General features: G+C 38.6%; 1 annotated feature.

Annotated features, from left to right (window-relative positions):
- Nucleotides 9019-9955: an enhancer, noted in NCBI's record as "OCT4-NANOG hESC enhancer chr12:89345592-89346528 (GRCh37/hg19 assembly coordinates)". NCBI's record gives its function as "activates a minimal SCP1, AML or CMV promoter by ChIP-STARR-seq in naive and primed H9 embryonic stem cells {active_cell/tissue: H9 hESC(naive and primed)}" and the evidence as "EXISTENCE:reporter gene assay evidence [ECO:0000049][PMID:30033119]".

The raw sequence follows: 16534 nt of genomic DNA on the forward strand, positions 1-16534 counted from the left end.
ATTCTGACAGCCAAATGATCCCTGCCTTCTACATTCTTATTTAATTAACTCCCACACCCTAGTGTCTGAGACCACAAAGGGAAATTAGCTACTGATATCATGCAGAAAGAAAGAATCACCTCCATTCAGGGGAAAGATGAGTATCTCTGTTTTGATCACGTGGTGGGTGGTAGCACATTCAGGAAGAATGTCTAAAAGGGAATTAGCAATATGAGACCGAAGCTCAGGAGTGAAGGTAGGACCTGAGATGCCTAACTAGGTAAACTGACACCAAAAGACAAAGGACTCATCTAGGCCAATGTTTGAATGTCTGCATCTCCCAATACTAGCTCTATGGTCATAAATAAATGTGTCTTCCATTGCTGAGACTCATTTTCATGGTGATAAAGTAGGAATAATCATTTCTCTCCCTCAGTAAATATGACTGAGCCCCTATCAGGTGCCAGACACAGCTTAGGGGCTAGAAATGCAATGAGGAACAATGATGCCTTCCAGAAGCTTTGATCTAGGGAGGAAGGCCATAGGAAGATGTGCAGTCATAAACTAGTATCAAAGTTGCCATGGTCTGTGAATACTGAAGAGCAGCAAATCCAGTCTTGGGAGTCAAACTTATCCCTCTACATCCTGATAAGTTATTCAGATTTCTATATTCAGCACAACTACCCCTCTTCGGGAGAGCCTTCATGCCATTGCTCCACACCTGAGGCTCTGAGAGGTGTTCACCTTTTGCCCCCGTGCCCTGTGCACACACCTCTACTAGCATCTATGAGCTGTAGAGTCAATATCCTCTCTCTCTCTCTCTGTCTCTCTCAAGTAGTTCCCTCAACATTGTGAATCCTTAAAGGAAGGAGCTGTGTTTTCTATCTCTAGATTCTCAACACATTTTAAGTACCAAATAAACGTTATCTCTCTCCTCTTTTCCTCCATCTTCAATTAGCAAAGGTAAGAGTTAAAGCCCTGAGAATAGATAAGGGCTGAAAGATGATAAAGAACTCAGAATAGAGAGGGTTCAGGACTGTTCTTTGGGAAATGTCTTCATTTCAGGAGAAGAGAGTTCTGTGTCATGGAACTTAAGAGAATTTCCCAAAAAGACATTTTGGGATTCCAAGGCAGGCAGACCACTTGAGGTCAAGAGTTTGAGACCAGCCTGGGCAACACGGCAAAACCCCATCTCTATAAAAAATACAAAAATTAGCCAGATATGGTGGTGTGCACCTATAGTCTCATCTACTCAGGAGGCCTAGGTGGGAGGATCGATTGAACCTGGGAGATGAAGGCTGCAGTCAGCTGTGGTTGTACCGCTACGCTCCAGCCTGGGTGACAGAGCGAGACACTGTTTCAAAAAAATATCCCCCCAAAATAGAGTGGCAAACAGCCCTACTACATGCCGCAGAGAGAGCAATAAGAAGGAGACTGCAAAAAGACCTTGGATATGGCAGTTGCATTACATTATTTGAATTCAAATCAAAGTACCATAGAATAATGTTCCCAATTATTTCCTCAGCCTTAGCAATGGTAAGTCTTTGTTTTCCTATCTGTGAGTATTATGAAGATCTGAGGAAACAATGAGATTCTTTTGCCAAATGACAACAAAATTCATTTTGAGGGCAGATAGACAGCTATATACAAGTAAATATACGATGAACTGTAAACTCGAGGCAACAAGGGAAGTTGGTATGAGTCACAGCATGACTGAGCATTGTTCAGAAAACAGCTCCCACCTCTTTGTTTAAGTTATTTCTAGCAGGTGGCTGAAGCACAGATTCAAGGGTGTGAGAACCTGGAATAATCATACATCTTCTTTTCTTCATAAACTCCGTTCTGACCCAAGAATCTTCACTCATGAAACAAAGTGCTGAGGTAGAAGAAAGAGGCCTGAACTCACAGAGGTATGATATTGAGTTCTGGTTTGGCTACTATCTAACAAAAAGCAAGTCACTTCTGAGGGCCTGTATCTCCTTATGTATAAAACATATGCTTTTCTAAGAGATTGTAAGGTCCTTAGACAAACCACCAAGTTTCATTTCTTTTCATCACCATTCTCTAGCATAGTAGTTTTATGTAAAGTGGAAACTGAATAAGAAGAATTTGAAAATAGTTTAGAATCTTGGTTTTAATATCTAATATTTGAAGTTCTGACATTTACTTTGAAATGCTTTTTGACCTCAGATAATAGCCAGATATATTTATTGAATGCTATAGTATCAGCAAACTATGGCCCAGAAACCAAATCCAGCACTCTTTCTGTTTTTATAAAGTTTTACCAGAAAAAGTCATGCACAATTCATTTACATATTGAGAGCTAGCTGTTTTCAAACTACAACAGCAGTGTTGAGTACTTGCAACAGAGTCATTCCAGCCTGCAAAATCTACTTACTATCTGGTTTATAGAGGAAGTTTGCCAACTCCTGATATAGGCTACTGAAGTCTGAATGCCAAGAAAGCATGTGGGATAAGGTCCAGGTCGGACCTTAAAGTTAGTGCTAAACCATGGGCATTCTTCCACTGGGATAATACAAAATCTGCCTTGCAACAGAATGAGTTTAGTGGTCGGTAAGCATACTTCTCTTTAACGTCCTCCTTTGTCTCTTGGATCTGCATGCTCAAGAAAGCTGTCAAAATGGAGCACTTAAAAGTAAAAATCAATCTTCACTCTTAAGCACTGGTAACTCAATATTGTCCAAAAGTAGGCCAAACCACACACATGGCCAAAGCTATTTTTGCCTGGCTAATTTTTCTTCATGCTCAAGGTCAAGCTATGGCCTCAGCAACTCTAGGAAGCACTTCTAGAAACACACCTGGTATATTTTAATGCCTGACTCTACTTAAGACTATGGAATCCTCAATGGATCATCTTTCTACTCCTGGCACATCTTTCTACTTCTACATGATACCACAGTGCTTATCATGGCATTTGATAGATACTCAATACTTTTGAACCAAATTGAACTAACAGGTAGTGTTCTTTCTGGACAAAGACATCTACCTTGGTCTGAGTTGTTGAAATGATACCAAATGAATTGAAGTCTTTCTGTCCAAAAACAGGAAATAAATACTAACTTCCCCAGATTTTTGTTTTTTTTTTTCACGCTAGTCCTCACCATTTTCCAATTTGATAGTAAAATGAGAGCAATATCATACAAATGTCAAATATTTGTTGAGCACCTACTCTGAACAAAGCAAATAGAAGTAGACATAATTCCCTTTTAGTCTCATGATACAATTATTTTTCCTCAAATATTCCCTAGAGGTCAATTACCATCTTTTATGCTGAGAGGATAGAAGCCTACCATTATTAACGACCTGGCCTGACAAATGTATAGGCTGAATAGTAGTAAGAGGAAGAAGACTGTCGGGGTTCACACCATGCAGTCTTCATCCAAGGAATCAGGATAAAACAGCAGTTGCCTTAATTTGGCTGGGCAAAGTATATACCAATTAATGATGAGATAACTGGTTCAGATAAAAGCTTGTAATTAATGAATCATTAAGGCACACACTTTAGGAACATAGAAGAATCAGGAGCCACACAGCTTGCCCAGAAGCAATCTTCCAGTTTTGTTGCTGTGCTTAAATGCATTGCTAATTTCTGAGAGCCTGCCATTTGTAATAGCACTGAAATGAATCACAGTGAATTTATGAATGTGAATCTGCATTGTTCATTACACAAGCTCTCTCCCGGGGAATGGAACCACCCTGAGAGCAACTTCTAATAAGCAGAAATTAAGTGTTACTGTCCCTTGCCGCTAGGAGGAAAAAAATATGTGTATGTGTGTCAGGGGAGGGGCGGCATAGTAGATAATTTGGTTATACATAAATAGTGTGAAGGGAGAGAGATGGGTATCTATTTTAAGCCTTTGTGGCCTGAAAAACCACATGCCCTGTGCTCAAAGCCAGGAGCCCTCTTACACAATAAATAATTCAGAAACCCCACAAGTGCCTGACTGGGAAGCCTGCTTCCTGAAAGCTGCCTCCTTGGCTAATCTTGGAAAAAGCCATGGATCAGCTGGCAGCTCAGACAAAATTCCTACTTTCCACCTAATGATTATGCCCAAGGCCCTCAGCCAGGATACTTCAGGAGGAAATCAACACAATCGTGTAATTGTTTGTGTTATTTATAGCTTGTTGTTTAAAACAAATGGAAATGACTGGACTCCTTGTGGCTAACTTAAGATCTTGTTCATGAACTCAGCAGGCGCTTTTACTGGGGCAGATTTAAAAAACAAATTCAAAATATTGTACACTATCCAAGGGAAATATGGCAAGCCAGAAACCTCTCCTTTTGTTATTTTTCCCCTTGTCTCTCCAGTATCTTCTTTGACATTCACCTGGAGGAATTTTGAAGGAAAGGCCAATCAGCTTTATTTTTTCAACTAGACCCCAATATTTCTGTGCAAAATCCAAGGAAGCAAAAAGCCCAAATGTCTCCCATTTGATTAATCTCTGATTTTAGCCTGATTTACGTGATGGTAAGAGATTTATGCAAAATACTATTGAGACATAGCCAACACATAATGTACAAACTACAACAATATGTAAACTATAACATGTCATCAAAAGCTACTTTATGACTCTAGAGGAAGGCACCCATGCCCCAAATTGATCAAAGCTATATTTTTGGTTTGGTGGAGTGTTTTGTGTTTGTTTATCAGACTTCAGCCCATTGCACCTCAAAAGCCTTATCTTTTAGGATGTCTTTAGTCAATAAAAAGCAAGAACCTGAAGTCAGTACTAACAAATGCATTTTAGTGTGAAGGGTGATTTCTGCAGACTTCTAAAACTATTCAAGGTTATTGACACACACAGATGAATACCAATGTGCTATTATGTTATTTGCTGTACAATATAAATGAGATCAAGTTTCCCTGGGCCTTGAAAATGCGTGTCCGACCTGAAATGGCTCAATAAATCTGCCAAATAAATAGCGGGTGTTCCTACCCCTTGCTCTGACTCCTCCACATGTCACCTTAAAAAGAACAAGCAGAAAATGTCCCTTTATACTGATATTTACTGATTCTGCCCAATGCTTATTTGCCTCTAGGGGGCATTTCTAAAGACTGCAAGGAAAAGCATTTCAGCTATTATGGCTGTCAAACCAGATGGCTCAGAAATAGGTATTAGATCTATTGATAAAACAGGAAAAAGAAAAAAATCATTTTGGGCAAGTCAGCTTTTCTTACCACAAGAAGAAAAATAGTCAAACTGGCTTTTAAATTAAATTGAATTGTGAGATAGGGGAAAAGTATCTTTTAAAATAATTTCTTTAAAGATTTTTATATAGTTAACTCTCCTGGATAATAGTGTCTGACTTTTGACCTAGAACAAATGCCATAAAAATAAAATAAGTATCATTAGAATGATGCTCAACATCAAAGGTTACAATTACAATGGTCACATTAAGTCATAGAATAGTGTGGAAGATTCAACTTTGATTGATATAAGCACCTTCCATTTTTTAAAGTTAGCATGTGTTTGGAAAAGAAGGAAGGTGTTGCAACACTCAGAAATTGACTATTGTGTGTCAAAAGAGATACTCTTTTGAATGGATTCTTCAAAAGCCTCAAATCAGTATTATAATTTAGTGTTACACCAACTTTATTTTCTTCCAGATTCTGTTTCTCAATCTATTGGTTCTATTGCATCTTTCATCACTTTTAATATGTCACTTTGTTCTTCTTTAATATTCTTTATATTTTCATAAAGGCTTTTAACTCCCAGCATATTGCAAACACCAATTAACTAAGCTACTCAACATCCCTATGTGTGTAGAAGCATTCTATTATTCTTGTTTTAAAGCTGGGAAAAAGAGGTTCAGTGAGGTGAGGTGACTCGCCTAACGAGCTAGTGGGAGAAGCTAGTCTCTCAGTTTATGACACCTAATTATCTGCATTAACAGGACATGATAATCTCCTACCTCTAATCTTTTCATGGCTGTACATTATGTGGAGTAAAGACATCAATACTGATGTCAATTTGAGAAACCAGCCACAATTTTACAATACAAACCCATTTCTGCTTTCAAAACAAAAAACCAAATTTTCATTGAAAAATTCCAGTAGCCCCTTCCAAGTATTAGGTTGGTGCAAAAGTAATTGCAGTTTTTGCCATTAAAGTAGGACCAAAATAGCAATTACATTTGCACCAACCTAATACATCAATCATAATTCTTATTTTTCAGTGGGCAACTTAGCACCTAAAAGTGGCTTAGTCATCTGATCTTTGACAAACCTGACAAAAACAAGCAATGGGGAAAGGATTCCCTATTTAATAAATGGTGCTGGGAAAACTGACTAGCCATATGTAGAAAGCTGAAACTGGATCCCTTCCTTACACCTTATACAAATATTAATTCAAGATGGATTAAAGACTTGAAAATAATACCTAAAACAGTAAAAACCCCAGAAGAAAACCTAGGTAATACCATTCAGGATATAGGCATGGGCAAGGACTTCATGACTAAAACACCAAAAGCAATGGAAACAAAAGCCAAAATCGACAGATGGAATCTAATGAAACTAAAGAGCTTCTGCACAGCAAAATAAACTATCAGCAGAGTGAACAGGCAACCTATGGGAGAAAATTTTTGCAATCTACCCATCTGACAAAAGGCTAATATCCAGAATCTACAAAGAACGTAAACAAATTTACAAGAAAAAAACAAACAACCCCATCAAAAAATGGGCAAAGGATATGAACAGACACTTCTCAAAAGAAGACATTTATGTGGCCAACAGACATATGAAAAATGATCATCACTGGTCATTAGAGAAATGCAAAACAAATCAAAACCACAATGAGATACCATCTCATGCCAGTTAGAATGGTGGTCATTAAAAAGTCAGGAAACAACAGATGCTGGAGAGGATGTGGAGAAATAGGAATGCTTTTACACTGTTGGTGGGAGTGTAAATTAGTTCAACCATTGTGGAAGACAGTGTGACAATTCCTCAAGGACCTAGAACTAGAAATACCATTTGCCCCAGCGATCCCATTACTGGGTATGTACCCAAAGGATTATAAATTATGCTACTATAAAGACACATGCACACATATGTTTATTGTGGCACTATTCACAATAGCAGACTTGGAACCAACCCAAATGTCCATCAATAATACACTAGATAAAGAAAATGTAGCACATATATACCATGGAATACTATGCAGCCATAAAAAAGGATAAGTTCACGTCCTTTGCAGGGACATGCAGGAAGCTGGAAATCATCATTCTCAGCAAACTATCACAAGGACAGAAAACTAAACACTGCAAGTTCTCACTCATAAGTGGACACAGGGAGGGGAACATCACACACCGGGGCCTGTTGGGTGGTGGGGGGCTAGGGGAGGGATAGCATTAGAAGAAATACTTAATGTAAATGATGAGTTGATGGGTGCAGCAAACTAACATGGCACATGTATACCTATGTAACAAACCTGCACGTTTTGTACATGTACCCCAGAACTTAAAGTATAATAAAAATAAATAAATAAATAAATAAATAAATAAATGTGGTTTAGTGAGGACAAAGCTGATTTACTAAAATCTGTTAAAATGTCAAAAAGAGATGAATTTTACAAAGAAAGATAGGATAAAATTAAAATTATCCTTTGCTAATAATAAAAAAAACTACCATACAATTAATTGAACTCTTGAGCTCATACTATGAATCAATGCCTATGTGCATTTTCTCACTTAATGCTGACAATCCTGTGAGGGGAGGACTATTCTTGTTCACACTTGAGAGAGGAGAAAATAAAGCACATAAAGGGCAAAGTGGATTGCCCAAGGTCGCATAGCTGGTAAGGGAGTCCAAGCTCAAATTCAGATATTCTGTCTCCTGAGTCTGTGTTCTTAATTGTTTCACAGTAATTATCCCATTTTCTGGATGAGATGTCACTTGCCTTTTCCTTCATATTAGAAACTTTACATTTGCTCTGAAATCAATACTGTGAATATTGTCTCTGCATTGTATATTGTATCAGGAGCGCTACGGAACATATAAGAGTAAGATGCATCTTTCTCTTCAATGACTACATGTCTTTTGCCAAATCACAGATTATTTTTAAAATTATTACTCCCATATTTGAATTTTAAGTGTAGTGACTAGGTCACCTTTCCCCCACCCCAATCTCCCAAGAAAGCCCCACACAGTACTAGACACGTAGTAGGCACTTTTTTCAATTTGATTGGATTTGATGTTTTCTTTTTTATTTGCTCCTATTGCCCTTCTTAGATGATCTTGAAATTCTGAATGTCTTTTTTTTTGTTTACAATTCTTTATTGTAGTAACATTGGCAAATGAGATGACTTCGTGCATATGTTAGAATTTCTATGCTTCCCAGAACAATTCTTGCATCTTCCTGAACAGCTCCTGTGAGTACAGAGGCCAGTAACGCAGTCAAGGGTATTAAACTGGAACAACATGGCTGAGACCAGTAGGATTACCTTATCCCTCCTCTTTCCTTGCTACTCCTCTATTCAGATGGCCAAAATGATTGTCACCTTTATTTAAGTGTTTAAATTGAGTTTGGCACTGTACTTAGAGCTTTATGTCCATTATCTCATTTACTCCTTCCCCAAACCCTACAACATGAGACTTTTATTATCATTCAAGCATGAGAAAACTGAGCCAAAGAGGCAATAAACAACTTTCCAAAGACGGCCCAGTGTTGGTGCAGGCATTTGGTTCAGGCAATATGACTCCAGAGCCCAAGGGTATAATTTGTACATGATTGCCTCTTCACCTTTGAATTTCTAGAAAATATCCTATTGATTAAGACATTTATGCAGCAAGATTATTTTTTAAAATAACTTAGAATAATTAAAGGTATTATATGCATTTTATAGCTAAAGCCTAAAGCAAACACTAAAAAATAGCTTCTGAAACAGCACCAGATTTTCTCTATTGTAATGAAAGTTCATTGAGCTGAGTTGTGCTTGAAGCTGTACAACGAAGGTGGCTATACAGAAAGCCTCATAATGCCTGGGAAGAAGGGGAGGGAATAAGGTCACCTTGGCTGGCATCTCAAAAACAGTCACAGGCAGGAGGAAACTGATCTTATATTTTCAAAGTTGATTCTAAACTCTTTATAGGTGGCTCCTACTCCCTGAAAGAAAAATGAAAATAAAAAATGGAAGGAAAGCTGATTTAATCTATTTATCCAAGATTTGTGGGTTCAGCATATTTCCTACTAAAGAGATGGCCTTTAAGACCCCAGGGGAGGTTTGAGCTCAGCTTTGGTTATCTTTTCCTTCTGAATAGCTGTGTAAACTCCTGGGGAGCAGATGAAAGCTGCCTTACAAGACAAAGGCACAGGAGTTTCTTCTTTTCTCTATCAGCTGGAAGAAAAGGAACTCTAGGAATCCTTTATAGTTAACTATTAAAATTGGTCATTCCTTTTTGCTTTTTTATAAGTTCTTTTTTAACCTCAATCTCTAAGAGCTATCAAGCAATAAAACTTCTCCCAGGGTGAGCAGGAAACACCAACGTGGCTCACCTTATTCTCTCATCTTTAAAGCCAGCATCCAAAACAACAGCTTAAAAGGACACCAGCTTGCATTCTTTTGCCAACAAAGATCTCAGGACTGGGTTATGTTTTCAGCTTTGGCGTCTGACCCCAAAATATAAGGAATTCTTTGGGGTCTGTGGAAGAAGGTAGGGATTAAAGAGAGCTAAGAGGTGTCTAATGTGCTTCATCTTCTATCCTAAGACTATTATCTATTGATAGAACCCTGCAGCTCAGGATGGAATTACCTGGGGCAACAAAAGAGATCAAGGGATAAAGATAAATAAAAGTGGGGAAAGGTAGAACCAAATGAAAACAGAAATGTGGAGAGGGGACTAGAGAGAAAAAAGAAAAATATGAAACTCTTTTCAGAAGAGTTACAAGTATGGAGAAGGCAAAAGGAAGAGAAAAGAGAAATATCTGTGATAACAGTTCACTGTGTCAATGATTCATGCTGGCAACTGGCCAAAATCAACCAATGTCCAGGGATATATACTAAACACTGAAGATTCAAAAATGAGTGGAGAATAATCCTAACCCTAAAAAGTTCACAGTTTAGGTGGAGAAATAAGCCTGTAAAAAAATAATGGCTATACGTATTTTGATGTTATTCACAGTTGCACTCTGTTTCATTTTGTCCCTCCAAAGCAGCAACTTTGATTCCAGCAATGGGCCTTTGCACTTGCTGGTGCTTCTGCTTGGAATGCTGTATCTTTGCAGGGCTGGCTATGTTACTAGCAGCAAATCCATACAAGTCTGCAGCAACCTCAGTTCATGCCTCCTCAGAAGAAAGAATTCTTCCGAGGGTCATCAGGCAGAAGAAGAGACTGAGGCAAGTTTTAGAACAGGAGTGAAAGTTTATTAAAAAGCTTTAGAGTAGGAATGAAAGGAAATAAAGTACACTTGGAAGAGGTCCAAACGGGAAACGAGAGATCAAGTGCACAGTTTGACCTCTGGACTTGGGGTTTTATACATTGGCTTGCTCTGGGGTCTTCATTACTTCTTCCCTGATTCTTCCCTTGGGGTGGGCTGTCCGCATGTGCAGTGGCCTACTAGCGGTTGGGAGGGGAGCGTGTGCAGTGTGTTTACTGGAGTTATACGCACGCTCACTTGAGGTGTTCTTCTCTTACCTTACCTGTCAAATGTCCCTAGGAGCTGTCCCTAGAAGTGGTATATCACTGGAGATGTCATATACCAGTTAAACTCTGCCATTGTGCCTCCTAATGTTTATGCTTCAGCTCTCTTGCTCAACACCTAAGATCCTTACCGAGAAGCTGCTGATCACCAGTTTCAGGTGTTCCTGTTTGTCAGGGAGTGCCTTTCTAAGGTGCTGGCTGCGACCAACTAATACTTTAGAGAGACACTTAACAACGGTGTGATCATCATCTGATGGTCGCCTGATATTCCTGGTGTGTGCGTGTGGCAGGGAGAGCCTTCTCTTGCCCTGCTCATGTATGACTAGCTACCTACTGTAACAGCTACTTTCCATTATTCAAGTCTCATCTCCAATCATCTCTCCAATCTAGGAATTCTTTATAATTAACTATTAAAATTGGTCATCCCTTTTGGCTTTTTTATAAGTTATTTTTAAACCTCAATCTCTAAGAGCTATCAAGCAACAAAACTTCTCCCAGAGTGAGCAGGAAACACCAAGGTGGCTCACCTTATTCCTTCCTTTTCTAAAGCCAGCATCCAAAAAACAGCTTAATATCACTCCAATCATCTCTCTCCCCAATAATGGGACTACTTCCCATTATTCAAGTCTTATCTCCAGTCAATCTAGTTGAAGCAGCACATTCAATCCCTTTCTACATTAACCCATTGCATCCTCTCCAAAAGTCATTTTGCACATCTGACAGTATCTTAATTTTTTTATTTCTCCCCCATGTTTAAAGGCTATCTTCCTCCATTAGGATACAAGCCCCTTGAAAAAAGGGACTCAATAAAAAGTCATTGATGAACTAGTAAATATTTATTGATCATTTGACTAACATATTGACTTTAAAATGTTATAAAAGAGATAAGCATAAAATTATTATGGAAGATTATGAAAACATTAAGGAAGGCTTTTCAGCAGAGGTGATTTTGTTGCTGTTGTTGACTATTTAAGGCTGAATAGGTATTTAAAACAAGGGCAAAAGAAGCAGAGCATTCCAGGTGAAGAGTGCATGTAATGACAGGGTCACAAAAAGAACACTGCTCCTTCCTGGGACCCCACTTCATTCTGAGTGTCTGATATACAGGCAGTGCTGAAAGAGGAGCAGCCACATAGAGTAGTAAAAAACATGGGTTTTGAAGCTGAGAGTAGATCTTGGTTCTTACACTAGTAAAGAAGGTAACTTTAGGCAAGTTATCAGTCTTCTCTGAGCCTCAACTCCCTCACCTGTAAAAGGAGGATTCATTCAACTCACATCACATCTACCTCATGGGATTCTTGGGAAGATTAAGTCAGTTAAAATGCCTAAAATGGTTAGAATCATGTAAGTGCTCACAAATGAAACCTATTATAATTATGGGCAGGTGGTGGTGCAGAAAAATAATAACACTGTGACAGCCCTATTTTTATTTTAAACTCACGCATGTGCAGATTAACCAATGTAATCCATACAGATTTATGAGGAAGGTACTATTATCATCATTATCTTACAGATAAGGAAACTCAGAAATAGGTTAAATAATTTACCCAAAGTCACACAGCAGTTACTAGCAGAGCTGGGATCTAAATCTAGAAAGTCAGGCATTTGAATCTTGGCTTTCACCATTATGTTATGCCACCTCTTTGAAAACCTAATTTATAGGCATCTTGTGAGGAAAAATGAAATAAAGTACATAAGTGGTTTATCATATTTACATAGTTTAATATGTATTAAACACTCAATAATTATATTTATTTTTTTAAAAAAATGTCTGTGGAACAATAGAGTTATAATTAGGATTGGTCAATTTTAGAAAACACAGTTTCTGTGGATTTTCTGGAAGACTCAAAAGAACCCAAAGAAGACAATTAGGGAGCATATCAGAAATAACTGGTGGTTGAATTACTGCTGAACAAGCAGTAAAAAGGTGGAATAGCCATAATCACTTGCTTGACCTTGATTTCTGGTGAGAGCACCAAAGGCCTCCTGTGCATCAATCTTTGCCCAGCTGTATTTCCTAACTAATTAATTTTAGAAAGATCTAACTCAATTAATTATAAAGTAATGGTTGTCACTTCCAGCTGCCAATTTATCTATATTACAAACCATAGCTAATTAGTTAGTGTATTATATCTCTTTCTTGGAAACACACTATTTGCCAGCTACATTAAATTATGTACTTAAACCCTGCGTGTGAGTTATACATTATTCTGCAATAAATGGTGAAACTAATTCTTTTGTAACTACGCACCATAAAAACACCAGAATGACAAAGAGAAAGCACCTTTAACATGCCTAATCAAGTTAATAAATAATCAGGCAAGCAAACTTGACAAGAATTCCATAACGGAACATGATAAAGACCTCTAAAATGCTGCGGACAGCCAGCCAAAATCCTGGTGATTTGGTACCCTCAAGAGACTTGTGACCTTGAGGAAAATGGAATCAAAGCAGAATTAAAGGTGCAACTCTATTTATTCCATGTAAACGGATAGGCAGCCTCAACACAAACCTGAAGACCTGTATTTTCTTCTACGAAGGAGTGTAGAGGCAGAAAGATGTGATACATTCCTTCACCCATCATAAGGGTCACGGTTGACATTCCTAAAATGAAAGACTGTTTAACAAAAAAAGGTGTAACAAACTTATTTAATCAAAGTTTTACATGACACAGGGACCTTCAGAAATGAAAACCCAAAGACCCAGGGAAAACTATTTTTATGCTTAGGCTCGATAAAGTGTTATAGAAATGTGATGGGACAAAAGGGTGTAATTTGATTGTAATTGACTGAGGAGGGAAACGCAGCAAGGTCTGTCCATTCAGATTCTTCTTGGACTGTCAGTGTAGCATTCCATCCTCCTGAGTATGGGGAAGGACGCCTCTGGAATGAAGGTCTTCAAAGAAGAAGAAGGCAGAAGATAGAGAATGACTTTTATAGGTTTTATGGCTTGCTTTGGAGAAGAGGAGTTCTATTTCTATGACCCTCCTTGGGAAACAGGAATTCTAATTTCTATGAATCCCTTTGGGGAAGAAAAAGGGTTGTGAGACAGAAGCGCAGAAGAAGGTCAGAGAGAACTCGCTTCTGAGGCCCTTCCAATCTTCAGTTCAAAGTACTCAGCATGCCAAGATACCTTACTTTGGGGTATCATATTAAGAATCCCAACAGAAGCAATTATATTTCTTTGTCCCAGCCTTCCTTTCTTCCCTTCTATCTTAAAAGAAAAGGTGTTTCTCTTATCCAAGGCTAAAACCTTCATCAAAGCTCTTAATCTCATTCCCTCCCACCTCCCCTGAGACTTTACTACATAAACATCTCTGTTTTCTTTTGTGTTATCAATTTCTGCTTCTCTTGATCCTTTCTCAGCCTATAAACATCTTGTATCCTCCTGCTTCTGAAAACAGCTTTCCTAAAGCCTGGCACTGCCACCACCGGCACCACTGCAAACTACTGCCCTATCCCTGCTGCTTTCCTCATGCCAAAGAGAGTCTCAAGTCTTGTATCCAATTCTTTATTTATATAAAAACTTTTTTTGGAAGAGAAACTGCTATGCTCTGCCTGGACTTAGCACTTTATTCGTAATCCACATAAAACCCCTTGCACAGCAAGTACCCAACCAGTATTAGCTGTTGTGGTGGTTGTCACTGTCATTTTGAGTGGTAGGATATTATACAGTATTTCAGAGTGTAGCCTCCAAAATCAGACACTATAGCCCAAATCCTGGCTCCACCTCCTTCTAACTGTGTGACATTAGGCAGTCTATGTAATTTTTGAAACTTTGAATTCTTAAATATAAACTGCAACTCCTCATAAAGTTGATGAGAGAAATAAATCAAAAGAGGTGACACATATATGTGCTCACTACTTTGTCCACAATTTAGTAGGTACTCAAATACGCTTTTTAAATATGTAGTGTAACTCTGCAGGTGCACAATTTTTATTCATTCCTCTCCCTTTTGATAAGTATAATAACTTTCCTTTGGGAAATGACTTTCTCCACTGCTTATTCCAGGAGGTTGGGCCCTATCCCTGACTTCAGAGTTGAAACATATGACTCAAGTCTGGTCATGCAAAGCACTGAGTCGCTTTTCTAGGCACGTGACTCAGACATGGCCAATCAGATCACTGAATCTTTCTTCTGGGCATGTGACCTGGGCTGACCAGTCAGAGCACTGAATCCCCTCCTGAGGCCATGCGACCTAGCTTCACCAATCAACAGAATTCCATTGTTTTGGTCTTCTTGTTCAGTTCACAAAGGGGACTTTCCAGTGTTTTCATCAGAAGGAATTCCAGAATTTTTGTAAGAATTATCAGTAAGATATATTGTCTTCTTCCTACCCAAATGGGCATGATGGAGCCATCTTGCCGTCATGTCAATGTGGAGAAGTCCACCCACAGAGTGGTGCAGAGCTAATCCAATAGACCTGACATTGCTTGAGGCCCTAAATCCAGCCATAACTGAGGCCTGTCCTGCTCTGTACTTCTCATTCGTCAGTAAGTGAATTTCTGGATTAAGCTAGTTTGCGTTTTATCTTACTTACAATTGAAAACTGGCGTAAATGCTTATCATGGTTTAGCATAGTAACTGTTCGAAGGTAAGGACCAGGTACAGATCTTATTCTGGAGCTCCAGTAGAGTTTCGTGGATGGTCAAAAAATAGGTGTTGTACAGAGGAGAAAATATTCTGTTTATGGTGAGGCGGGGTACATTCTACACCCATGCCTCATTATCTTGCTCACCCTTTAGGCACAGATTGATTCCAGAGGCTGGCCCAAAATGGTGATGGCCACAAAAAGCTGCAGAAAAAAAAAAATGTTCCTTCACAAGTCCATACCTTCCCAGGGACCAAGAAAACTGTTTGCATTTGAAATGTCATCTCTTCCAGCTGTTACAAAAGAAAACAAATAGCTTATTTAACAAAGTACTTAACTGAGCAGACTAGATCACTATGTCAATAAGCATTTTCAAGCAAGATAATTCCTTCCCTTACAATGGAGAATTGCATGCTTCTGATGTTAAAATTACTTCCCTTGTGACATTATCTTTCAGGACTATTTTCTCCAGAAGCAACCATTTCCCAAGTTTAAATGAAAACCAGTGGCATGAAAAGGCATGAAAAGAACAATGAAACAAATTCACTTTTAACAAACTTCAAATTTCCTAGGTTTTCTGGAAATTGAGAGACACCTGTAAGATGATCCAATCCAGCTAAACTGCTTAGAAATAATTTAACGATCTTGTAATTGGAAAAAAAAAAATGAATTTCTGTTTCCTCTGCTGGACATAAGGATGAAACAGGAGAGACGCAGGGCATGCATGAGTGAAAAGAACAAAGGATTCAAGGAAAATACGTATTTAGTGGGGAAACTTGGGGGCAGCCCAGGGAGCTGAGAAATGAGAGACGTTAAACAGTGTATGTGAATTGCTTATGTGAATTGAGGGCATTCAAACTGAATGTTAAAAAAAAAAAATGTTATTTTGATGCAGATGGCAACAGAAATAAATTCTGGGAAAAAAAACTCTGCACTCCATCAAAAGCCCTGCACTCATATTCCTATTCCTTCTGTTGCTTTGCAGCACAGAAACACAACAAAGAAGCACCAAAGCCAGTTAGAAAATTATGGCAACCAGTGTAACTGCCATGGAAAGGCCCTTCCCACATTTGGCACATTTTCCAGGTCTAAGAGGGTTTTCATCAGTGAAAGGGCTGTTGCTGAACAATGAACCTGCTCCTTAAGAGTGAGAAAGGTTGTTGACTCTTCAAATTGGCATCTGCAGCTGCTGGTCCTTAGAGTCTGTGCTAGTCAGGGCCCCTCCTTTTTCTTGTAAAAGCTTGGCACCATTTTAATTATTTTGTAAAATTTGCCCTCCATCAGCTCTACCATTCTGGGATAT

This window comes from Homo sapiens, chromosome 12 (assembly GCF_000001405.40).
Source record: "Homo sapiens chromosome 12, GRCh38.p14 Primary Assembly".
NCBI lineage: Eukaryota > Metazoa > Chordata > Mammalia > Primates > Hominidae > Homo > Homo sapiens.